Source organism: Homo sapiens, chromosome 19 (assembly GCF_000001405.40).
Source record: "Homo sapiens chromosome 19, GRCh38.p14 Primary Assembly".
NCBI classification, from domain to species: Eukaryota; Metazoa; Chordata; class Mammalia; order Primates; family Hominidae; genus Homo; species Homo sapiens.
Window position 1 is genome coordinate 4,341,249 of NC_000019.10, and position 23,415 is coordinate 4,364,663.

Sequence of the window (23,415 nt, forward strand, 5' to 3'; positions counted from 1 at the left end):
GCTAATTTTTTTGTTTTTATTAGAGATGGGGTTTCACCATGTTGGTCAGGCTGGTCTTCAGCTTCTGACCTCAAGTGATCCCAAAGTGCTGGGATTACAGGCGTGAGCCACTGTGCCCAGCCAGGGTGGTTAGTTTTTATTGTATTTGTCTAAGGCAATGTGGAGCGACAGAAGGATTTACAGCATGAGAGGAGGGCAGGGTGCGGTGGCTCACGCCTGTAATCCAAACACTTTGGGAGCCCAAGTGGGAAGATTGCTTAAGGCCAGGACTTGGAGACCAGCATGGGCAACATAGTGAGATCCCCTTCTTTTACAAGAAAATTAAAAATTAGCCAGGCATGCTGGTCACGCCTGTTGTCTCAGCTACTCTGGAGGCTGAGGCAAGAGGATCATTTGAGTCCAGGAGGCCAAGGCTGCAGTGAGCCATGATTACACCAATGCACTCCAGCCTGGGAGATAGAGCAAGGCCCTGTCTCGAAAAGAAAAGAAAATAGGCTGGGCGCAGTGGCTCACACCTGTAATCCCAGCACTTTGGGAGGCTGAGGCAGGTGGATCACCTGAGGTTGGGAGTTCGAGACCAGCCTGGCAAACATGGTGAAACCCCTTCTCTACTAAAAATACAAAAATTAGCTGGGTGTGGTGATGTGCATCTGCAGTCCCAGCTAATTGGGAGGCTGAGGCAGGAGAATCGCTTGAACCTGGTAGGCAGAGGTTGTAGCGAGCCAAGATCTTGCCACTACACTCCGGCCTGGGTGACAGAGCGAGACTCCGTCTCAAAAAAAAAAAAAAAAAAAAAAAAAAAAAAAGAAAAAAGAAAAGAAAAGAAAACAAAATAATAATATGGGAGGGAGGTGGTAATAGGTGCATTTTAGAAAGAGCCCTCTGGGGCAATGGTGGAAGACCGACAGGGTGGGGCATGAGTTTGGAGGCCTGAGACTCACTGCGATGGCCAGGATTTGGGTGCAAGAGGCTGGAGGTGTGGCTCAGGGTTTTGGAAGGCAGGGGACGGAAAAAAAGCCAAAGAGAAAGTGCGTAAGGAGTTGGGGAAATAAACTGAGGCCGGTTTGGGCTATGCTGAGTCTGCAGGCCTTGGGGATGCCCGTTGTTGGCTGGACAGTCAGGGTGGGGCCCCTAAAGGGTGCCTGGGCTGGACAACAATAGTTCACATGTACCCAGCTCTTGCTCTATGTCAAGTCTTCTTCCTGAGAACATTCCCGAGCACCCTGGAGAGCCTCCCCCGCACCCCTACTGTCCAGTTCCCACTTCCCGACTGCGGTCTGGGCAAAGCCACCCGCACTTGAGCCCATCCCACGGCGTCCCGGAGCTTTAGGAAGTCCCCATCCCGGACTTTCAACCCTGCCAGGGACTGAGGGAAATCCCAGAGCCTGGGCTCCGGGACGAAGGTCCCAGGACAGGGTCGGGGATGTAGTTGCAGAAACAGGGTAGGGGACAAAGGCCGGGGCTGCACTGATCAGGCGCGCAACGAGCCCGGCCCTGCCTCCTGCTCCGCCCAAGGGTATGGAGGGCCGGACTCGGCTGGCCTTATACCCGGAGCTGATTGGCTGGTGAGTCCAGTCCCTGCCTCTGATGGTTTGCGCTCATAACTAAGGGTTTCTACTGATTGGTTTACATGGACGTCTGCCCATTGGTCAAATCCGAGTTGGTGTAATCAGATAGTTGACACGGATTGGTTGGTGCGGGAATCCAGTAGCTTGCTATCGATTGGTTGAGGGTGAAATAAATGGGACTCTTATCATTGGCTGGCGGGCTCCGCAACGGTCCAATCATGGAATCAGTCGAGGGCCGCCCGGGAGGGTGGGAGTTAATTCTTTAGCGACTGAGGCCGGCTTGGGCTCTTTGGCTCCACCTGTGTCTGCGCGAGGCTGTTCCCTATTGGAGTCCGCATTGTTCCCCTGGACCTGAGTTTCTCCCCTGGTCCTAAAGGCCGAGGCCTCTGAGTTCCTCAAGTGCGGTGACCGCAGGTCTCACCTTCTCCTCTCCTTGCAGCAGGCTGAGCCACTCGCGCACCCGCCCCAGGCTTCCACCTTGCAACCTCTATCCCTGGACAGCGAGGCCTCAGTTTCCCCATTCGCACCAATGAGCTCCCGGTCAACACCCCGTCACGCCTCAGTTTCCCGAATGTTCCCAGAGGGCTGAGTTCCCGATCTCTCTCCCGCGTGGGCATCCCCGAGGCCTCAGTTTCTCCGCCCACCCCAGCGCGCCGAGCCCTTCCCCCGACCCCGGCGACGGCCAATGGTTGGGGCGCCCCTCCCCTCCCCGGGGCGGGGCCGCGTGACGTGCCGGGAAGCCGGAGTCTAGAGCTCCGGGCGCGGGGAGGCGCGGCCATGGCAGGTACGGCGGGCCCAGCGGGGCGGAGGCGCGGGGCGCGGGGCTGCAGGGGCGCGGGGCTGCAGAGCCGTGGGGCGAGCGGCCTCCCTGCAGCCTCTCGCTGTCCGCAGCTCCGGAGCCGCTGTCCCCGGCGGGCGGTGCGGGCGAGGAGGCGCCGGAGGAGGACGAGGACGAAGCGGAGGCCGAGGACCCTGAGCGGCCGAATGCGGGAGCGGGCGGTGGACGCAGTGGCGGCGGCGGCAGTAGCGTCAGCGGAGGAGGCGGCGGCGGCGGGGCCGGGGCGGGGGGCTGCGGCGGGCCCGGGGGCGCGCTCACCAGGCGCGCGGTCACACTGCGGGTGCTCCTCAAAGACGCGCTGCTGGAGCCTGGCGCCGGGGTGCTGTCCATCTACTACCTGGTGAGCACCCCGCCTCCCTCGTCCCATCGCGGCTCGGGCAGGAAGGGGAAACTGAGGCCTGGAGTTCCCTTGCTGCAGGACAAGCTTCAGTGTAGGGAGGGGACACTGAGGCCCGGAGCTCCCTTGCTGAGAGACGAGCCCCGGTGTGGCGAGGGGAAACTGAGGCCCGGGGCTCCGTTGACTGCAGGAAGAGCTCCAGTGTGAGGAGGGGAAACTGAGGCTCGGAGCTCTCTTGGCTGCAGGAAGAGCCCCGACATGAAGAGGGGAGACTGAGGCCCGGAGCTCCCTTGGCGGCAGGAAGAGCCCCGGTGTGAGGAAGGGAGACTGAGGCCTGGAGAGCTCCCTTGCTTTAGGACAAGCCCCAGTGTGGGGAGGGGAAACTGAGGCCCAGAGCTCCTTTCCTGCAGGAGGAGCTCCCGTGGAGGGGACACTGAGGCCCGGAGCTCTTTTTACGGGACAAGCCCCATGTGGAGAGAGGAATCTGAGGCACAGATGGGTCCTTCTGGTGGGGAGGACGTAGATTACCAAACACCCCATCCCACAAAGGAGAAGCTGAGGCTCAGAGAGGAGCCACCACCCGCGCAGGGTCAGATGGGCAACACCCCGGCCTTCCTGTGGTTTCCCAGCCGTGAAATGGAATATTTCCCCACCATGGGAAAATTAGGGGATGGTTAAATGAATAAAGCCCTCAGCAGGCGCCTGCCACATGGTAAGCACTTTATCTGTGGTAGGTATTAGTACTTTTTTTTTTTTTTTTTTTTTGAGACAGAGTCTCGCTTTTTTGCCCAGGCTGGAATGCAGTTGCTCGATCTCGGCTCACTGCAACCTCTGCCTCCCGGTTCAAGCGATTTTCTGCCTCAGCCTCCCGAGTAGCTGGGACTACAGGTATGCGCCACCACGCCTGGCTAATTTTTTTTTTTTGCAGTTTTAGTAGAGACGGGGTTTCACTATATTGGCCAGGCTGGTCTTGAACTCCTGACCTCGTGGTCCGCCTGCCTCAGCTCCCAAAGTGCTGGGATTATAGGCGTGAGCCACCATGCCCGGCCTTTTTTTTTTTTTTTTTTTTTTTTTGAGACAGAGTCTCGCGCTGTTGCCCAGGCTGGAATGCAGTAGCATGATCTCGGCTCACTGCAACCTCTGCCTCCCGGTTCAAGCAATTCTCCTGCCTTAGCCTCTTGAGTAGCTGGGATTACAGGCACCCGCCACCACGCCTGGCTAATTTTTATATTTTTAGTAGAGATGGGGTTTCACCATGTTGGCCAGGCTGGTCTCAAACTCCTGACCTCAGGTGATCCGCCCGCCTCAGCCTCCCAAAGTGCTGGGATTACAGGCGTGAACCACTGCACCCAGCCCTGTATTATTACTATTACTGTTGTCATTATTGTTTGATTTGTGAATGGTAGCACATTATTCCCCTTCTGAATGGGAGTTTCTGAATGGAGCAACTGCTGAGTGTTGCATCCTGGAGACACAGCAGTGATCAAGACAGACAGACCCTATCCCCGATCTTAGGGGTTTCTTGGTCATGGTGGGCGGGGTGCAGATATCTGCCAGGCAGCTTGGTGCAGGCTGATCAGGTTTGTGGGTGTGGACTCCCAGGCACTGAGGAGGCCCTGCAGCCGGCCTGAGAGGTGTTCCTGGAAGCCCTGTAAAGACATGCCTGAGGGAGCGTAGGTCTGGGGAGGACCCCCCGGGAGAGAGGGCATGGTGGGTGTTGGTCCTGGGCCCAGCCAGCTGACTGTCACTGCAGGGGAAGAAGTTCCTGGGCGACCTGCAGCCAGACGGAAGGATCATGTGGCAGGAGACCGGGCAGACCTTCAACTCACCCAGCGCCTGGGCCACCCACTGCAAGAAGCTGGTGAACCCTGCCAAGAAGTCGGGCTGTGGCTGGGCCTCTGTCAAGTACAAAGGCCAGAAACTGGACAAGTACAAGGCCACCTGGCTCCGGCTGCACCAGCTGCACACGCCTGCCACGGCTGCTGATGAGGTACGTGCTGCAGCCTCCTCCAGGAAGCCGCCCAGGTCACTGTGGAATGAGGGGTGCCCAGCCTGGCACAGCTCTCTCCGGAGGAGGTATTAGTAATATATACAAACACGGATGGAGCCCTTACCACGTGACATGCCTCCTCCATCCCTCCAGGGCTGGGGCGGAGAGAGGGGACATGGGAGCTTGGGCTTTGAGGGATGAGCAGGAGTTTGTCAGAGCAAGTTGAAGGGAAGAGCTTTCTAGAAGGATGGAATGGCATACGCAAAGTCATGTAGACAAGAAGAAAGACCTGCTGGTGTCATGGGTGGCTGAGGGGGCTGGAAATGATGGCAGGGACCAGAGGGGCACTGGGGGAACTTCAAATGCTATGATAATAGATGTTCCCTGAGTGTTCACCAGCCGGGTGAACTTGACCAAGGACCCTTTGTGTGCCTTAGTTTTTTTCTTTTTTTTTGAGACAGGGTCTCACTCTGTGGCCCAGGCTGGAGTGCAGTGCCCCCATCTTGGCTCACTACAGCCTTCACCTCCTGGGTTCAAGCGATCCTCCCACCTCAGCCTCCCTAGTAGCTGGACTACAGACGCATGCCACCACACCCGGCTAATTTTTGGATTTTTAGAAGAGATGAGGTTTCACCATGTTGCCTAGGCTGGTCTCAAACTCCTGGCCTCCAGCAATCCTCCCACCTGGACTTCCCAAAGTGTTGGGATTGCGGGCGTGAGCTACTGCACTGGCCGTTTTTTTTTTCTTATGTGAAATGGAGATGGTAGGCCAGGCACAGTGGCTCATGCCTGTAATCCCAGCATTTTGGGAGGCTGAAGCAGGCAGGTTCACGAGGTCAAGAGATCCAGACCAGCCTGGCCAACATGGTGAAACCCCGTCTCTACTAAAAAGACAAAAATTAGCCAGGCGTGGTGGTGCACGCCTGTAGTCCCAGCTACTCGGGAGGCTGAGGCAGGAGAATCACTTGAACCTGCAAGGCGGAGGTTGCAGTGAGCTGAGATCACACCACTGCATTCCAGCCTGGCAACAGATTGAGACTCCATTTCAAAACAACAACAACAAAACCCCAAAATGGAGATGGTACCAGTGCCCATGTGTGGAATCTGTAGGGCAGGCAGGAAACTGAGGCAGGAGCAGATGCTGTAGTCTTGTGGCAGAATCTTTTTTTTTTTTCTGTTTTTGCTGTTATCGCCTTCAACTGATTGGATGAGGCCCACCTGTAGTATCAAGAGTAATGTCCTTTCTTCTTTTCGTAGATATGTTTTTTTTTTTTTTCAAGACGGAGTCTTGCTCTGTCGCCCAGGCTGGAGTACAGTGGCACGATCTCAGCTCACTGCAAGCTCTGCCTCCCGGGTTCATGCCATTCTCCTGCCTCAGCCTCCCGAGTAGCTGGGACTACAGGCACCCACCACCACGCCCGGATAATTTTTGTATTTTTAGTAGAGACGGGGTTTCACCGTGTTAGCCAGGATGATCTCGATCTCCTGACCTCGTGATCCACCCACCTCGGCCTCCCAAAGTGCTGGGATTACAAGTGTGAGCCACCGCGCCCAGCTGCCTGTAGATATGTTTTCATAAACTTTTTTTTATGTACGAAGTTTATTGCATGAAGGAGTTAACACTAGTCCATGTTAAAAGCAGACCACAAATGGTTACGTTATACAAGCTGTGAGGTTTTTAAACTTGTGACAAAGGACAGAAAGGAAATTCTACTCATTGCAAGGAAATCCTCACTTAAGCTTCAGTGAGCCACAAGCACTTAAAACCCATGAACCTGCCCGACGCAGTGGCAAAAAAACCCTTGACCCTTCACATGATCCTCCTTAGTCAGTCCAGTGTCTACAAGGAACTGGCAAATGTTCTTGCACTGGTCACTCTGTAGCTGAATTACTTCTCCATATTGTGTTTTTTTTTGTTTTTTTTTTTTGAGACAGACTCTCGCTGTGTCTCCCAGGCTGGAATGCAATGCCACGATCTCTGCTCATTGCAACCTCTGCCTCCCGGGTTCAAATGATTCTCCTGCCTCAGTCTCGCGAGTAGCTGGGATTACAGGCGCCCACCACCACACCCGGCTAATTTTTATATTTTTAGTAGAGACGGGGTTTCACCACGTTGGCCAGGCTGGTCTCGAACTCCTGACATCAGGTGATCCGCCCGCCTCCGCCTCCCAAAATGCTGGGATTACAGGCGTGAGCCACCAAGCCCAGCTGACTTATCCATATTCTGGATGCTCAATTACAGTATCATTGCAGGCAGGCAAATTGCAAATTTCTTTTTTTTTTTTTTTTTTTTTTTTGAGACGGAGTCTCGCTCTGTCGCCCAGGCTGGAGCTCAGTGGCACAATCTAGGCTCACTGCAACCTCTGCCTCCCAGGTTCAAGCGATTCTCCTGCCTGAGCCTCTTGAGTAGCTGGGATTACAGGCACACACCACCACACCCGGCTAATTTTTGTATTTTTAGTAGAAATGGGGTTTCACCATGTTGGTCCGGCTGTTCTCAAACTCCTGACCTCGTGATCCACCCCCATCGGCCTCCCAAAGTGCTGAGATTATAGGCGTGAGCCATCGCGCCCGGCCTAAATTTCTTCTTAAACACCTTCACTAGTTTCTTTTTATCGTAATCATCACTGATCTCTTGCAGGACAGCAGTAAGCGTTTTCCTGCCATTTTTCTGTTGAATTCTTTTTTTTTTTTGAGATGGAGTCTCACTGTGTCGCCCAGGCTGGAATGCAGTGGTGCAATCTTGGCTCACTGCAAACTCTGCCTCCCGGATTCAAGCCATTCTCCTACCTCAGCCTCCAAGTAGCTGGAATTATAGGCGCCCACCACCAGGCCTGGCTAATTTTTTTATTTTTAGTGGAGACGGGGTTTCACCATTTTGGCCAGGCTGGTCTTGAACTCCTGACCTCGTGATCTACCTGCCTCAGCCTCCCAAAGTGCTGGGATTATAGGCGTGAGCCACCATGCCCGGCCTCTGTTGAATTCTTATATGGATACAGTCCTCAGTGCCAGCAGGAAGCAGGTCATCACTGTTACTTGCATCAGCAGAGGGGTTGAAAGAGTGGAGGTTCTGGATAGTGGACAAAAGATATAATTCTGTTTTTGAGATGGAGTCTCGCTCTGTTGTCCAGGCTGGAGTGCAGTGCTGTGATCTTGGCTCACTGCAACCTCCCGTTCCCGGGTTCACGCAATTCTTCTGCGTCAGCCTCCAGAGTAGCTGGGACTACAAGGGCGCGCCACCAAGCTCAGCTGATTTTTGTATTTTTGCATGTTTATTAGAGATGCGGTTTCACCATGTTGGTCAGGCTGGTCTCGAACTCCTGACCTCAAGTGATCCACTCGCTTCGGTATCCCAAAGTGCAGGGATTACAGGCATGAGCCACCGCAGCCAGTCACGATTCCTTTGCCTTGGTGGGAACTGCCTGTGGAAAGCAGTGGTGGCGGGAGAAGGCGAGTGGGAGGGATGGAGCGTCAGGAAGTGAGGGTGCTCAACGGGAGGCTGCCGAGTCCTCAGTGGCTCAGTGAGTGGGTCTATTTTTTTTTTTTGAGATGGAGTGTCGCTCTTGTTGCCCAGGCTGGAGCGCAATGGCGTGATCTTGGCTCACTGCAACCTCCGCCTCTTGGGTTCAGGCGATTCTCCTGCCTCAGCCTCCTGAGTAGCTGGGACTACAGATGCCCACTACCATGCCCAGTTAATTTTTGTATTTTTAGTAGAGATGGGGTTTCACCATGTTGGCCAGGCTAGTCTTGAACTCCTGACCTCAGGTGATCCGCCCACCTCTGCCTCCCAAAGTGCTGGGATTGCAGGCGTGAGCCAGCCATGGAGCCTGGTCAAGAGCAATGTCCTTTCTGAAAGTCACCTTACTGTAGATATGAATCACATGTAACAAATGCCATCGCAGTAATGCCTAGATCAGTGTTCCATTAAATTACCAGGCACTCTTGCCTAGCTAAGATGACACAGGAAACCATTCTTTCAGTATGTATTCAGTTAGTGGCCAACTGTGTGCAAGGCCTGTTTTAGGCACTGAATATAAAGCAGAGGGCAAAAAAAGTCAAAAATCCCTGCCTTTGGGTGGGAGTTGTGGGGGAAGAAGGTGGTTGGGGGGGCTTCACTGAGAAGGTGACATTTGAACGGAGAACTGAAGGTGGGGAGGGAGGGAGGGTGCCATGAGGACTTCTGAGAAACAGCCTCTGCAAAGGCCCTGGGGCACGACCGTGCCTGGTGTGTTGGAGGAACAGCGAGGAGCCTGTGTGGCTGGAGCCGAGTGAGTAAGGGAGAGAGAAGGAGGTGGGGAGGATGGGAAGGGGACAGGGCAGGTCATGCAGGGCTCTGTAGGTTATGGGGAGAACTTGGGCTTTGACCGGGAGGAAGGTGGGAGCCATGGAGTGTTGCAGGCAGAGGAAGGACAGGATCTGACTGAGGTGCTCACAGGCGTTCTCTGGTGGCTGCTGTGGGGACTAGACTGTCGGGGGTTAGGGTGGGATCCAGGGACCAGGGCAGAGGTGAGTGAGCTGGTCCAGGTGAGGGATGATGGAGTGGCCCAGGCCGACCATGGAGCAGGGAAGAAGTGGGCAGGTTCCAGGTATTTTTGGAAGTGTATCCGCCAGATTTGCTGATAGATCAGATGCTGGAGTCCTGAGCAAGTGGGTGGATCGAGCTGCCAAAATTGGGGGATGTGGGAAGGGCAGATCTGGGGGTTCAGTGGGGCCCAGCATGGCTGTGTTGAGTGTGACCCTGTGAGTCCCCCACATGGAGACATAGAGAGGCAGCTGGGCCCTGAGTCTGGAGCCGGGCGAGGCTTGGGCTGGAGACAGGACTGTGGGCAGTGTCAGGTGTAGACAGGATTTGGAGCCCTGAGAGGGGATGAGGCCACCTGGGAGGGGTGTGGAGGGAGGAGGCCTGAAAACCCAGCCTGGGGCCAGCAACAGCGAGAGGGGAGGTGAGAGGGAGCCAGGCGAGCGTGGGATCCGGGGGTTGTGTGAGGACCGTGTCCTGGTAGGTAGGAGGCTGTGCTGGGTCAGATGCTGCCGAGAAGGTGACGAGGACAGAAAGTGAGATGTGACCCAGAGAGGTCACCTCCACAAGGGCAGTTTAGGACAGAACTGGAGGAGAGGTTATTTTTAATTTGTATTTTTGTAGACAGAGTCTCGCTCCGTCACCCAGGCTGTAGTACAATGGTGTGATCTCAGTTCACTGCAGTCTCCGCCTCCCGGGTTCAAGTGATCCTCCTGCCTCAGCCTCCTGAGTAGCTGGGATTGCAGGTGTTCGCCACCATGCCTGGCTAATTTTTGTATTTTTAGTAGAGATGGGGTTTCACCATGTTGGCCAGGCTGGTCTCGAACTCCTGACCTCAAGTGGTCCACCGCCTCAGCCTCCCAAAGTGCTGGGATTGCAGGCGTGGGCCACTGTGCCCGACTGGGAGGAAAGGTTACTGAAAGACGTGAAAGCCACCTATGTATGGTGCTGGCTCGCTCAATGAACGGAGCATCTAGGTGTATGCTAAATGCTTTGTGCGTATGATTTCATTTCACCCTGATGCCATCCCCGTGGAGTTGGAGGTCATTGTGCCCTTTTACAGATAAGAATAGACTTGGCGGCCGGGCACGGTGGCTCACGCCTTTAATCCCAGCACTTTGGGTGGCCGAGATGGGCAAATCACAAGGTCAGACGATCGAGACCATCCTGGCTAACACGGTGAAACCCCATCTCTACTAAAAATACAAAAAATTAGCTGGGCGTGGTGGCACATGCCTATAATCCCAGCTACTCGGGAGGCTGAGGCAGGAAAATCACTTGAACCCGGGAGGTGGAGGTTGTAGTGAGCCGAGATCATGCCACTGCACTCCAGCCTCGGCGACAGAGTGAGACTCTGTCTCAAAAAAAAAAAAAAAAAAAGAATAGAGTTGGCTGGGCACGGTGGCTCACACCTGTAATGCCAACACTTTGGGAGGCTGAGGCAGGTGGGTCACTTGAGGTCAGGAGTTTGAGACCAGCCTGGCCAACATGGCAAAACCTCATCTATACTAAAAAGACAAAAATTAGCCAGGCATGGTGGTGGGCAACTGTACTCCCAGCTACTCAGGAGGCTGAGGCAAGAGAATGGCTTGAACCCGGAAGGCAGAGGTTGCAGTGAGCCAAGATCGTGCCACTGCGCTCCAGCCTGGGTGACAGAGTGAGACCGTGTCTCAAAGAAAAAAAAAAAGATAAAAGAATAGATAGAGTTCAGAGAGTTTAAACCCATTTATGCCTGAGGTTGCAATTCTTTGAATTTTTGCAATCAGACCTTGGCGATGACTTTGAGCAGTAGGATATAAATAGCTCCCATATGCTTAGCGTTCCAATAATGGAACCCTAGGCATAAATGGCAATGGTGCTCACCAAAGGTTGCGCAGGGCTTGTATTATAAAATGCGAGGTGAGCCGGGTGCGGTGGCTTACGCCTGTAATCCCAGCACTTTGGGAGGCCGAGGTGGGTGGATCACCTGAGGTCGGGAGTTTGAGACCAGCCTGACCAACATGGAGAAATCCCGTCTCTACTAAGAATACAAAATTAGCTGGATGTGGTGGTGCATGCCTGTAACCCCAGCTACTCAGGAGGCTGAGGCAGGAGAGTCACTTGAACCCAGGAGGCAGAAGTTGCAGTGAGCCGAAATCACACCACTGCACTCCAGACTGGGCGACAGAGAGAGACTCCGTCTCAAAAATAAATAAATAAAAAATAAATTACAAATAAATAAAAAAAAATGTGAGGTCTTAGCTTAAGGCCTTCTCTGCTCCCTCCCTCCCTCTAGTGGTCATGTGGGGCAATGGCACTTACGGCTTAGGCCAAAGGGCTGGGGTGGGATTTAGCAGGGAGCGGGGGGGCACCCAGCTGAGGGTCCCACCGCTGTCCCTGACCCCTAACCCCTGCAGAGCCCAGCCAGTGAAGGGGAGGAGGAGGAGTTGCTGATGGAAGAGGAGGAGGAGGACGTTCTGGCAGGGGTCTCAGCAGAGGACAAGAGTCGGAGACCACTGGGGAAGAGCCCTTCAGAGCCTGCCCACCCGGGTGAGAGGCGTGGGGAGGGGAGGCAGGACAGGGGCGGATACAGCTCGGGTTGGGGAGGAGACTGGGGAGAGGTTGGGCCTTGATCTTCTCCTAGGGCCCCCAAGATGGAGACATGGAGAGTCAGCTGGGCCCTAAGTCTGGAGCCGGACGAGGCCTGGGCTGAAGACAGTCCCACTGCCCAGTTTTACTCACTGCCTTGACTTCTTAAGCTCAAATGCTGGATTTTATTTTATTTTATATATTTATTTATTTTTTGGTGATGGAGTCTCCCTCTGTCGCCCAGGCTGGAATGCAGTGGCTCAATCTCGGCTCACTGCAACCTCTGCCTCCCGGGTTCAAGCGATTCTCCTGCCTCAGCCTCCCAAATAGCTGGGACTATAGGCGCCAGCCGCCACGCCTGGCTAACTTTTGTATTTTTAGTAGAGATGGAGTTTCACAATGTTGTCCAGGCTGGTCTTGAACTCCTGACCTCAGGTGATCCACCTGCCTCGGCCTCCCAAAGTGTTGGGATTACAGGCGTGAGCCACTGTACCTGTTTTTTTGTTTTTTTGAGACAGGGTTTTGCTCTGTCCCCCAGGGCAGAGTACAGTGGTGCAATCATGGCTAACTGCAGCCTCAACCTCCTGGGTTCAAGTGATGCTCTCACCTCAGCCTCTTGAGTAACTGGGACCACAGGTGTGCACCACCACACCCGGCTAATTTTTGTATTTTTTTTCAGAGACGAGATCTCATCATCTTGCCCAGGCTGGTCTTGAACTCCTGGACTTGAGCAATCCTCTCACCTCAGCTTCCCAGTGAAAAAAAATTTCTTCTTTGTAAATAAGAGTCTCACTCTGTAACTCAGGCTGGAGTGCAGTGGTGTGATCACAGCTCCCTGCAGCCTCAACCTCCCATGCTCAAGCGATCCTCCTGCTTCAGCACTGGGATTATAGGCATGCACCACCACACCCAGTGGCCACCTAATTTGTTCTAACTTGGGCTGGGGAGGGACTGACCCTGCCTTTTTCTCTCCCAGAGGCCACAACCCCAGGGAAGCGGGTGGACAGCAAGATCCGGGTTCCGGTCCGCTACTGCATGCTGGGCAGCCGCGACTTGGCCAGGTCAGACTCACCCCAAGTTCTGCCCCTGCCCCAGCTCACCTGGATCTCTTGCTGGTCTTGGGGTAGCAAGGGCAGGGGTGGGGGGTGGGACAGAGCCTCAGATCCTCAGAGCTGTGGGGTTGGGGGAGTCAGTGTGGGGGCGAGGGAAGAGCCTGGGGATTCCTGAGACTGTGCGACCCTCCTGGCCCCTACAGGAACCCCCACACCCTGGTGGAAGTAACATCCTTTGCAGCCATCAACAAGTTCCAGCCGTTCAACGTGGCTGTTTCTAGCAACGTGCTGTTCCTGCTGGTGTGTGGCCCACCCTGTCTAGGGGCAAGGGGCTCCGGAGCCCAGTCGGTGGGCAGCGGGCGGGGCTCCCCTGCGTATCAGCTCCATGAGAGCTGGGGCCTTGTCTGCTTTGTTTGCTACTGGTACACTGTGGGTGCTCAATAAATGTATGAAGGAGGGTGCGTGGCCAGGCCCAGTGGCTCACACCTATAATCCCAGCACTTTGGGAAGCTGAGGCAGCGGGTCACCTGAACTCAGGAGTTCGAGACAAGCCTGGGTAACACTGAAACCCTGTCTCTACTAAATATACAAAAATTAGCTGGGCATGGTGGTGCACGCCTCTAATCCCAGCTACCTGAGAGGCTGAGACAGGAGAATGGCTTGAACTGGGGAGGCGGAGGTTGCGGTGAGCCAAGATCGTGCCACTGCCCTCCAGCCTGGGCGACAGAGCAAGACTGAGTCTCAAAGAGAATGAGGGCACAGGCTGGCTCCAGTGTTGGGGCAGGGCCACAGCCTGAGCCAGTCTTTTGCTGTTCCTCCCTTCCCCAGGACTTCCACAGTCACCTGACACGGAGTGAGGTCGTGGGTTACCTGGGGGGCCGCTGGGACGTCAACAGCCAGAGTGGGTATCCAGGGCCAGGTGGGCGGGGGCGTTGGAGGACCGGGGTCACGGGGTCACAGCTGCCCCTCCCCACAGTGCTGACGGTGCTCAGAGCCTTCCCTTGTCGGAGCCGGCTCGGGGACGCAGAGACTGCAGCTGCCATCGAAGAGGAGGTGAGGGGCTACCTGGGAGGTGGCATTCTGGGGAGGGTTGGGAAGGGACATAGCTGTCCTGGCGACTGCCCAGTGGCTGGCAGTGTCATCACCCAGCAACCGTGCAGGTGAGCATGCCCGTCTGTGTGCTTGGGACCCCATGGTGAAGGGTGAAGAACACTGCTTTTTTTTTTTTTTTTTGAGACGGAGTCTCGCTCTGTCACCCAGGCTAGAGTGCAGTGGTGCGATCTCAGCTCCCTGCAAGCTCCGCCTCCCGGGTTCACGCCATTCTCCTGCCTCAGCCTCCTGAATAGCTGGGACTACAGGTGCCTGCCACCACGCCCAGCTAATTTTTTGTGTTTTTAGTAGAGACGGGGTTTCACCGCGTTAGCCAGGATGGTCTCGATCCCCTGACCTCGTGATCTGCCCGCCTCAGCCTCCCAAAGTGCTGGGATTACAGGCGTGAGCCACCGTGCCCAGCTAATTTTTTGTATTTTTAGTAGAGACAGGGTTTCACCATGTTGGTCAGGATGGTCTTGATCTCTTTACCTCGTGATCCGCCCACCTCAGCCTCCCAAAGTGTTGGGATTACAGGGGTGAGCCACCGTGCCTGGTCAGGATGGTCTCGATCTCTTGACCTCGTGATCTGCCCACCTCGGTCTCCCAAAGTGCTGGGATTACAGGTGTGAGCCACTGCGCCCGGCCTTTTTTTTTTTTTTCTTGAGACATTCTCGCTCTGTCGCCCAGGATGGAGTGCAGGGCGCGATCTTGGCTCACTGCAACCTCCACCTTCCGGATTCAAGTGATTCTCCTGCCTCTGCCTCCTGAATACCTAGGATTACAGGTGTGCGCCACCATCTCCAGCTAATTTTTGTATTTTTAGTTGAGACAGGGTTTCACCATGTTGGCCAGGCTGGTTTCAAACTCCTGACCTCGTGATCCACCCGCGTCAGCCTCCCAAAGTGCTGGGATTACAGGTGTGAGCCACCGCGCCCAGCCTAAGAGCACTGCTTTTGGATCTCCTAGCCCTGGTGCTGAAACCTCGCCAGCCCCCTCCCCTCTCAGAGCCTTGGTTTCCTTGTCTGTAAAATGAGCGGCTTCAATGAAAGGCCATCAGATCCAGGCACCGGGGGTTCACACCTGGAATCCCAGCACTTAGGGAGGCCGAGGCAGGAGGTTTGCTGGAGTTCAACACCAGCCTGGGGCCACAGCAAGACCCCGTCTCTACAAAAGATAAAAAAAATTAGCCAGACATGGTGGTACGCACCTGTAGTCCCATCTATTTGAGAGGCTGAGGCAGGAGGATGGATTGAGTCCAGGAGGTTGAGGCTTCAGTGAGCTGAGATGGCGCCACTGTGTTCCAGCCTGGGTGACAGAGCAAGACCCTATATCTAAGAACATAAAAAGTGAAGGGCTGCTAATATTGAATGCTCAGTGCCAGGCCTCATCTATTAAACACTACTCATAAGTGCCAGTTGCTATTCTTTTTTTTTTTTCCTTTTCTTTGAGACACGATCTTGCTCTGTTGCCCAGGCTGGACTGCAGTGGCATAATCATGGCTCACTGCAGCATCAGCTGCCCAGGTTCAACATCCTCCTGCCTCAGCCTCCATAGTAGATGGGAGTACAGACACACGCCACCACACCTGGCTAATTTTTGTATTTTTAGTAGAGAAGGGGGTTTCTCCATGTTGGCCAGGCTAGTCTTGAACTCGTGACCTCAAGTGATCTGCCTGCCTCAGCCTCCCAAAGCACTGGGATTATAGGCGTGAGCCACTGCTCCCAGCCTAGTTTTAACTGTTTGTTGAGTGCTTACTGTGTGGCGACCATTATTCTGTAAGCTGGGCTACAGCAGTGAACAAAATGACTTTGGTGTCCTGGCTTTGTGGCAGGGTGCATCTTTTATATTAAAAGAGGTCCTTGTTGGCTGTCTCTCCAGCTCCCACTGGACTCAGTGGCGGTGGGGGCAGGGCCTGTCTTGGTCATCACTGTGTCCCCAGGCCTGATACACAGCAGGAATTCGTTCAGGGCTGGCCAGCCACATAAGCTCACTAGAGCCGTTCAGGCCCCTGTGCCCGCTGAGCTGCGCCTCTGTCCCCAGATCTACCAGAGCCTGTTCCTGCGGGGCCTGTCCCTGGTGGGCTGGTACCACAGCCACCCACACAGCCCGGCGCTGCCATCTCTGCAGGACATCGACGCACAGATGGACTACCAGCTGCGGCTGCAGGGCTCCAGCAATGGCTTCCAGCCCTGCCTCGCCCTGCTCTGCTGTACGCGGGATGGGGCTGTGGGGGGAGCAAGGAGGGGGGATGCTGGGCCAGCCGAGCCTCCCAGGGCCAACCCCTCTCCCTCTCTCCCGCCAGCCCCTTACTATTCTGGCAACCCAGGCCCCGAGTCCAAGATCTCACCTTTCTGGGTGATGCCTCCTCCCGAGGTAGGTGGGGCTGTTGGGAGAGCCTGGGGGGCCCGGGAGCACTGGGGCATTTGGGTCACGACTAGGCAGGGGCCCCTGGTTCCAGGCTCCACTGGAGAGTTGGGGCCCCAGTTTCTCCATCTATGAAATGGGGACGTGACTGCTGCCCTGCCCATATTTTGGTGAGGTCCTGGGCGTGGGGCCTCCGTTGTGTCATTGGCTGCTCAGTACAAAGAGGGCTCCCTTCCTGACCCTGCCTGGCTTCATTCCCCAATCCTGCCCTGAAGTCAGAGGTCAGCCCTGGGAAGTCATTTCAGGGCCCTGGCTCTCCTCTGGGCCTCTCCCACAGTAAGGATGCTACACTGCCTCCCTGGTCCCACCACCAGGTGCCGATCCCGGTGCAGAGCTGAGCCGGGGTGTGCACTCTCCCGTTCCCAGCCCGGGCACTGCCAATTGTCCCCAGCTGCCATGGGCTGCGGGCTGGTGAGGCTTCTCTCACTGGTCTGTGTCCCTGCCAGCAAAGGCCCAGTGACTATGGCATCCCCATGGATGTGGAGATGGCCTACGTCCAGGACAGCTTCCTGACCAATGACATCCTTCACGAGATGGTGAGCTCGCTGCGGGGCGGGCAGGCAGGGGCTGGCAGTGCGCAGCTGGGCACACGATGCGTTGGTCTGCTTCCCACCGGTGGGCTTGGGAAGCTATGGCTGGTGGCGCCTTGGGGGCCTGGGTTAGGGCTTCTTCCATCACTCAGGACAGAGTCCAGGCCCTTGCCAGGGTCCCTCCAACTTCTGCCCTCCCTCACCTCCCCACCTGCTGTTCTCTAAGGCACTGGCCTCTTCTGCCAGGCTGTCCAGTAGAGAAACCCCAGGGACTTTGGGTGGTAACTGGATGAACACTTAAAAATTGTGTGTTCAACATGCATTTAAAACACTAAACTAAGGCAGACATAGTGGCTCACGCCTGTAATCCCAGCACTTTGGGAGGCTGAGGTGGGTGGATCACCTGAGGTCAGGAGTTCGAGACTAGTCTGGCCAACATGGCGAAACCCTGTCACTACCAAGATAGAAAAGCTAGCCAGGAGTGGTGGCGGGTGCCTATAGTCCTAGCTACTTGGGAGGCTGAGGCAGGACAAGCTCTTGAACCCGGGAGGTGGAGGTTACAGTGAGCCGAGATCACGCCACTGCGCTCCAGTCTGGGCCACAGAGTGAGACCCTACCTCAAGGAAAAAACCCAACAAAACCTAAACTAGTTCGTCAAACCTGTGACCTCACAGGTGTCACTGCTGGGGATGAGGCCGAACCAGGGGGCCACGTCAGGCCCGCGTGGTTCTGGAGAACTGGGCTCGGTGAGTGCAGGTCCAGGTGGACCTCTCGTGGCAGCCACTTGGGCAACGCTGCTGCCTCCCCCTCGAGAGAGCCCTCCTGGACCTAAGCTAGGTGAGCCCTCTGGCTAAGGTCACTCGTGATCTCTTTGTGGTTGGTTTGTTAGTGATGGGGTCATGTCTCAGGGCTGCCTGAGACTGGAACCCCAGGAGAGGCGCTGAGGTACCTCAGGCTTGGAGGGAGCCTGGGAGTCCATGCTCCTCTGTCCTGTAGATGCTGCTGGTGGAGTTCTACAAGGGTTCCCCTGACCTCGTGAGGCTCCAGGAACCCTGGAGCCAGGAGCACACCTACCTCGACAAGCTTAAGGTGAGCCCCAAGTCCCCGCAGACCTCCTAACGGGGCCCCAGGAGAGGCCCCCTGGGCAGCCTAAAAGGTGGCAGCAATGAGCCCCGTGGGCCTCAGGGGCCTGAGACAGCCCAGCTGGCAGACTGGTGACCCTGGTCACCCCGTGGCCACCCCAGCAGGGTGCAGGCCAGATTTGATTGGACTGTGGAGCTTTAAGCTCCGGCAGTGCCGGATGAGGTCCTGGCAGCGGGTTTTGGGAGTGGCTCCCCTGCAGAGGGCCCAGGGTCCTGGCCACCCCTGAGTGTCTTAGGGTAGTGGTTCCTGGTTTCCCTCCACCTGGCATAGAAAGGGACTCATTCTGCTCAGCTCTCGGCTAGCTGTGGAGGCTGTGGTGTCCCCATGGGTGTCTGGAACCAGGCAGGGAGGGGCTGAAGTGGGGGCAGGATCGGGAGTGTGCACATAAGCCCCACCCCTCCACACAGCACCGCTGCCCCTGGGAGCCAGGCCCTCGGTTACATACTGCCCCACTGGGTAAGCAGCAGGCTGTGCTGCGGGACCCCAGCCCTGTGCCTCGGTCTCAGGGGGGCTCAGTCAGGATGCTGGACTTGCACGGTGGACTGTGAGGCGCAGGGCTGGCTAGGACCCCCGGGCACAGCCTGAGGCCCAGCCCCCTCGTTTCAGATCTCCTTGGCCAGCAGGACGCCCAAGGACCAGAGCCTGTGTCACGTCCTGGAACAGGTGTGCGGCGTCCTCAAGCAGGGGAGCTGAGCCTTCCAGGGCAGGGTGGGCTCCAGTTGTCTTGAGGGTCCGGATGGGCTCAGGTAATAAAGAAACGGAAGCAGCAGCCAGCCACGCTGGTCTCCCCAAGGCTGGGGTGAGGGTGGCTGGGTGCCCAGGCTGGTACCATCACCCCAGCTTCCTCACTTCCAGGGCAGGGCATTAACTTCCAGGATACCCCTCAGCCCCTGCACCTGGGAACTGGCACAAAAGCCTCAGGGCCAGTCCCACCCACCTTGGGCTCAGGAGCACCTGGGGTGCTGGAGGGACCTCCTGGGGTGTGTGTGGCTTTGGAGCCGGCCCCTCAGGAAGGCGGTGGGTGGCAGGCCCACCCCTGCACCAAGACGAGGCAAGGGGCTGTAGAAAGAGACATTTAATACTTCTGTTTACAAAATTCAGGCGTACATTTCAGTTTGCCCTGGACCGTGCCCAAAGCTGTGTGCTCATCTCTGCGCCCCTCATGTACTTCTGACGAGGGGGGTGCAGGGCAGGGCAGAGCAGAGCCTGGGGTCCGGAGGCTTCACTGGACCACAGGGGGAGGGGAATGTGAATGTGGCCTGGCCCAGAGAACTCCCCATTTCATCGATTTTGCATTGGGCGATAGAGGAAGCAGATGTCGGGGCTGCCTGCCTTGGTCTAGAGGAGATGGCTGGGGCCACTTCCCACAGGGTGAAGTGGCAGCGGCTCAGCAAGGGGAGCCTGGCCACCAGGGGCTGGGACATGCGCTCACTGGAACCTTTGTGCTTGGCCCTCGGCAGCGCGGCTGTGGTCCCGTGTGAGGTGTGCTGGGGTGGGTGTGGGTGGCTGGTGGTGGCAGCTTGTGCCAGAGTGACACAGGCCTCCCTGGGTTGGGATGGGGGCAGTTAAAAAGCTGAAAAGGTACTTGGCTTTCTGAGGGCGGGGCTTGGGAGGCAGGGCCCTGCAGGAGACCATGTTCTCTGTCCTCAGGCAGATCCCAGCTGGCCTCTGTCCCCGGGCTGCAAGCTGACAGCAGGCCCGGGAGGCGGTGAGGCCCTCTGCCCTGGCCTTGAGGAGAAGGAGTGCGTGTGTGAGGCGGGGGTGCATTGGCCCTGGAGTAGGGCCAGGGCCCATCACCAGCACCAGGCTGGGAGGGATTTAAAACCAGGGTCCTATCTCTGAGCCACCCCATGGGGACCCTCGATCCCATCCTGTTAAGGCTGCGGGACTCGAGGGTAGGCAGTGGGCCGGGCCCCCGTCGGGTCAGGACGGAGGTGGGGGCTGCCCCAGAGGAACATTAGTGTTTCTAAGAGCACCTTAGTGTTGCCCCGCCTCGGCCAGCTGGGCGAGAAGTTGGGGAGCGGGGGAGGAGGCTGGCGCCATGGAGTGGGGAAGGGAGCCGTCACCGTTGGGAGTCAGCGCTAGTGTAAACAGGCATCCCCACCCACCCAGATAAGCCCCCCCACCCAAGTGTGGGGTCCTGCTCAGGGAGTACCTCAAGGGCCGGGGCCCAGGTGGCGCCGGCAGGCTCAGACACCGCCCTGGCAGCAGGGGCTCCGTGGAATGCAGGAGACCCAGCAGGGGGTGCCGGCCAGTGTGGACGGAGGGGCGGGGCGGGGACACGGGTGAGTCACTGCGGCAGGGGCACAAGCACCTCCACGTAGCTGAGCGGGAAGAAGCCCGACTGGCCGTCCAGCATGCCCTCGTACCAGTTCTCATCGATCTGGTTGGTCAGCGTGATGACGTCGCCCTCATGGAAGCCCAGCTCCCCGTCGTTCTCGGGCTCGAAGTCGTACAGCGCCTTGCAGCTCGGCTGGTCCAGGGGCGCTGGGGGCGGGAGCGGGCTGTGGGGCTGGGGCTGCTACGCCTCACCCCGCCCAGTCTGGGGTCTCAGACCTGCTGTGACCTGGAGCGTGTGGGTGGGCATGGGCCTCCCCTCTGCCCTGCCTGGGCCACCCCCTGCCCCTGCCACTTCTGGGGTCCGGCCTCTACTGCCACCCAGGAGGGAGGATGGGAGAAGCTTGGTTTAAGTGGTCACCAAAGCTACTCCTGGGAAGTGCTGGGGACACCCGGTGCTGCTGCGGTGACAGGGAGTGACCAGATGCCCTCAAGCCCTTGTAGCCACCACACAGCCTAGAGCTAGCTGGGCTAGTGCCCTTGGCAATCCCTCATTCACACTGTGAGGCTGAGACCCAGAGGGGTGGCATCTTGCAGGCTGTGGGGCCTGTGCCCCCTACTGCTGCACGAGCCTGGCCCCTCCCTGCTTGAGATGGGCAGAGAACAGGGCGGGAGGAGAAACACCCTCCCCGAATGGCCGAGAAGGCAGCACTGAGGTCGAGGCGGGCCTGGGAACACTCACGCATGCTCCGGCTAGGGGTCCGGATGGGCTTGTCGGAAGATCGGAAAGACGATGAAGCTAAACACAAGCAAAACGAGGAGGCTGTGGGCTCAAAACGGTCGGGCAGGGCCCCTTCTGCAGAAGGCTGGGGCCAGCCCTTCCCGTCTGCCTTGGCGGTCCAGATGGAGCACGGCTGAGAGCTGCACCCAGGAGTCTGGCGCTCAGAGACCCAGGACAGGGCCAGCCCTTGGCCACTCCCACCCGCTGGCATTTGCCTCCGCAAGAGGGCTCCATGCCCCATTACCTGCGATCTTGGGGGCTGTGGTGCAGGGGAAGCCCCCGTTGGACTGCTCAGGCTCTCCAAGGTCAAAGGGCTCCCGGGGCTTGGGCTTATACTCCCGCTTAGGGCGTGAGGAAGCTTCCCGCATCCTGTGAAGGGAGAGGCGTGAGTGGACCGAGCCCGTGTCACGGCCGAGGCAGCCCCACTCTTGTATTTATGCTGCTGCCTAATGACCTGGCCTGGGACTGCAGGAAGAGGCCGTCAGTGGGGTTGTGACACATGGACCCTGGGACACAGCTAGACTGGGATGTCTACCCAGAGGGCCTCCAGCCTGGACCCCCACCTTGGAGGCATCCCAGAGATTGCCAAGCAGCTGGGGCCTGCCACAGCATCTACCTACAACACCCCCAGTCGCATCCCCTGCCTCCTCCCCCAATTCCCCACCACGGACGGCGCCCCACATACGCCAAGGCCCCTGAAGCAGGTCTGGCCTCTGCATTCAGGGAGGGGAGCCTGGGTGTTCCTGTGGCAGCAGCAACGTGCAGCCAGGGAGGGAGTCCCCGGGGCCTGCATCGGGGCAGGGCTGGGTGTTGACTCAGAGTTCTCAGAGCCCCAGCTCCTCTGACCTCGCGGCCCCCCAGGCCTTTCCACTCAGTCCCCAGGAAGAATCCAGGATGCTGCTCTGCCATGTGCTCACCCCACAGCGAGGTGTGCTGCCCACTTGCGCTGGCAGAGGGCGCATGGCAGCCCAGACTCTGGAGAGACCAAGGCCCTGGGCTCACCTGCGCTTGAGCTTCTCCGCCAGCTCGTCCAGGATCTGCACGGCCTGCCGGTGGTAGTCCAGCTGTGCATCCACCAGGGCCGAGAGCTGACTCACCTGCTCGATCTGTGGGGACAGTAGGGCTCAGGGGCTCCTGCCAGTGCCACTGTCCTGTGCCTTCCCTGACTCCCGAGGTGAAGCCACAGGAGGCAAGGGGGCTGAGAGGGGACAGGGGACTGGGGCCCATACCCTCCACCTCCCCTGCTGCAGCGGCCAGGTAGGTGCCGATCTGTCCTCCAGCTCCCTTGAGGCACCACCCCGGCCTCCCAAGGGCATAGGTCTTCTCAGGATGTGACACCCCGAGCTACTCACGTCAGTCTCCAGGAGGTTGTGCATGCTGGTTTCTGCCACCTCCTTGGACTCCTCGAACTTCTCCAGCGCCTGGCGTAGCTCCTCATCGGGGATCTTGCCCTGCCGCTTCTTCTTGTAGTCAAAGTCCAGGCGGCGGCCCTCCAGTTTCTTCAGGTGGTGCTGGAGACGTGGGGGACATGGGTCACACCAGTAGCGGCCAGAGGGCCGCCCCACGCATGGCTTTGACCCACTGTCCCTGCACCACTGGGGATCCTGCCTGCCTGAGACCCAGAGGGCAGTGCCGAGGCTGGAGGTGAGGGTGGCAGGAATGGGGCTGCCCCATCCGGCAGGGGGAAGGGACAGGCCCCAGGCTGGCGCAGGAGCAGCACCTGGATCTCCTTCAGGTCTTTCTCGCACAGGTTCTGGAGGGGGTCAATGAAGTTCTGCTTGACCTCGATGTCCAGGGAGTCCTTCACCTCTGCCAGGCGCTTCATGGACTCGCCGGCATCCAGCAATGCGTCACCTGTGGAGAAGTGGTGGGGGAAGCCATCATACCGGGCCTGGGACCACTAGACTGAGACACTCCTCAGCCTTTGTTTTTGAAATAGCGTTTCACAGGCTGGAACGCAGTGGCGCTGTACCAGCTCACTGCAGGCCTCAAACTGGGCTCAAGCCATGCTGGCACCTCAGCCTCCCAAGTAGCCGGGACCACAGGCGTTCACCCCCACACCTGGATCCTTTCCAACTTCTTTGAGATGAAGTCTCGCTGTTGCCCAGGCTGCAGTGCAGTGGCATGATCTCAGCTCACTGCAACCTCTGCCTCCCAGGTTCAAGCAATTCTCCTGTCTCAGCCTCCTGAGTAAGGGGGATTACAGGGGCCTGCCACCACATCCAGCTAATTTTTGTATTTTTAATAGAGACGGGGTTTCACCATATAGACCACACCGGTCTCGAACTCCTGACCT

General features: G+C 57.4%; 2 protein-coding genes and 1 pseudogene across 9 annotated transcripts in view, besides 4 other annotated features; 1 reads left to right on the top strand and 2 right to left on the bottom strand.

The window, feature by feature from the left end:
• Window positions 1,226-1,345: an enhancer, noted in NCBI's record as "active region_13767". NCBI's record gives its function as "activates an Ori minimal core promoter by ATAC-STARR-seq in GM12878 lymphoblastoid cells {active_cell/tissue: GM12878}" and the evidence as "EXISTENCE:reporter gene assay evidence [ECO:0000049][PMID:35858748]".
• Window positions 1,366-2,097: an enhancer, noted in NCBI's record as "NANOG-H3K27ac-H3K4me1 hESC enhancer chr19:4342611-4343342 (GRCh37/hg19 assembly coordinates)". NCBI's record gives its function as "activates a minimal SCP1, AML or CMV promoter by ChIP-STARR-seq in primed H9 embryonic stem cells {active_cell/tissue: H9 hESC(primed)}" and the evidence as "EXISTENCE:reporter gene assay evidence [ECO:0000049][PMID:30033119]".
• Window positions 2,166-2,455: a silencer, noted in NCBI's record as "silent region_9886". NCBI's record gives its function as "represses an Ori minimal core promoter by ATAC-STARR-seq in GM12878 lymphoblastoid cells {active_cell/tissue: GM12878}" and the evidence as "EXISTENCE:reporter gene assay evidence [ECO:0000049][PMID:35858748]".
• On the top strand, window positions 2,314-18,830 carry MPND (MPN domain containing). 4 transcript variants are annotated; one of them, NM_001300862.2, is made up of 13 exons: window positions 2,314-2,352; window positions 2,460-2,746; window positions 4,497-4,733; window positions 11,649-11,781; window positions 12,797-12,881; window positions 13,076-13,172; window positions 13,701-13,773; window positions 13,849-13,925; window positions 16,005-16,173; window positions 16,267-16,337; window positions 16,835-16,924; window positions 17,915-18,007; window positions 18,668-18,830. In NM_001300862.2, the coding sequence occupies exons 1-13, from the start codon at window positions 2,346-2,348 to the stop codon at window positions 18,752-18,754; spliced, it is 1,506 nt and encodes a 501-aa protein (NP_001287791.1). In that variant the 5' UTR covers window positions 2,314-2,345; the 3' UTR covers window positions 18,755-18,830. The 4 variants fall into 4 exon arrangements, with proteins under 4 accessions (NP_001287791.1, XP_006722989.1, NP_116257.2 ...); XM_006722926.3 differs by having other exon boundaries at window positions 16,092-16,173; NM_032868.6 differs by lacking the exon at window positions 16,835-16,924.
• EIF1P6 (eukaryotic translation initiation factor 1 pseudogene 6) lies at window positions 6,332-7,835 on the bottom strand (annotated as a pseudogene).
• Window positions 9,060-9,561: an enhancer, noted in NCBI's record as "H3K4me1 hESC enhancer chr19:4350305-4350806 (GRCh37/hg19 assembly coordinates)". NCBI's record gives its function as "activates a minimal SCP1, AML or CMV promoter by ChIP-STARR-seq in primed H9 embryonic stem cells {active_cell/tissue: H9 hESC(primed)}" and the evidence as "EXISTENCE:reporter gene assay evidence [ECO:0000049][PMID:30033119]".
• Window positions 19,122-23,415, bottom strand: part of SH3GL1 (SH3 domain containing GRB2 like 1, endophilin A2) — a 40,178-nt gene continuing 35,884 nt past the window's right edge. For 4 of the 5 annotated variants that reach the window (NM_001199943.2, NM_003025.4, XM_047439222.1 and 1 more), the window contains 6 exons: window positions 22,840-22,973; window positions 22,472-22,630; window positions 22,122-22,225; window positions 21,364-21,488; window positions 21,081-21,137; window positions 19,122-20,548 (listed from right to left, as the gene is read on the bottom strand). In NM_001199943.2, the coding sequence (NP_001186872.1) occupies window positions 20,352-20,548; window positions 21,081-21,137; window positions 21,364-21,488; window positions 22,122-22,225; window positions 22,472-22,630; window positions 22,840-22,973 (776 nt within the window). In that variant the 3' untranslated portion in view covers window positions 19,122-20,351. The remainder of the gene's footprint in view (window positions 20,549-21,080; window positions 21,138-21,363; window positions 21,489-22,121; window positions 22,226-22,471; window positions 22,631-22,839; window positions 22,974-23,415) is intronic. The other variant, NM_001199944.2, reaches the window with a different exon arrangement.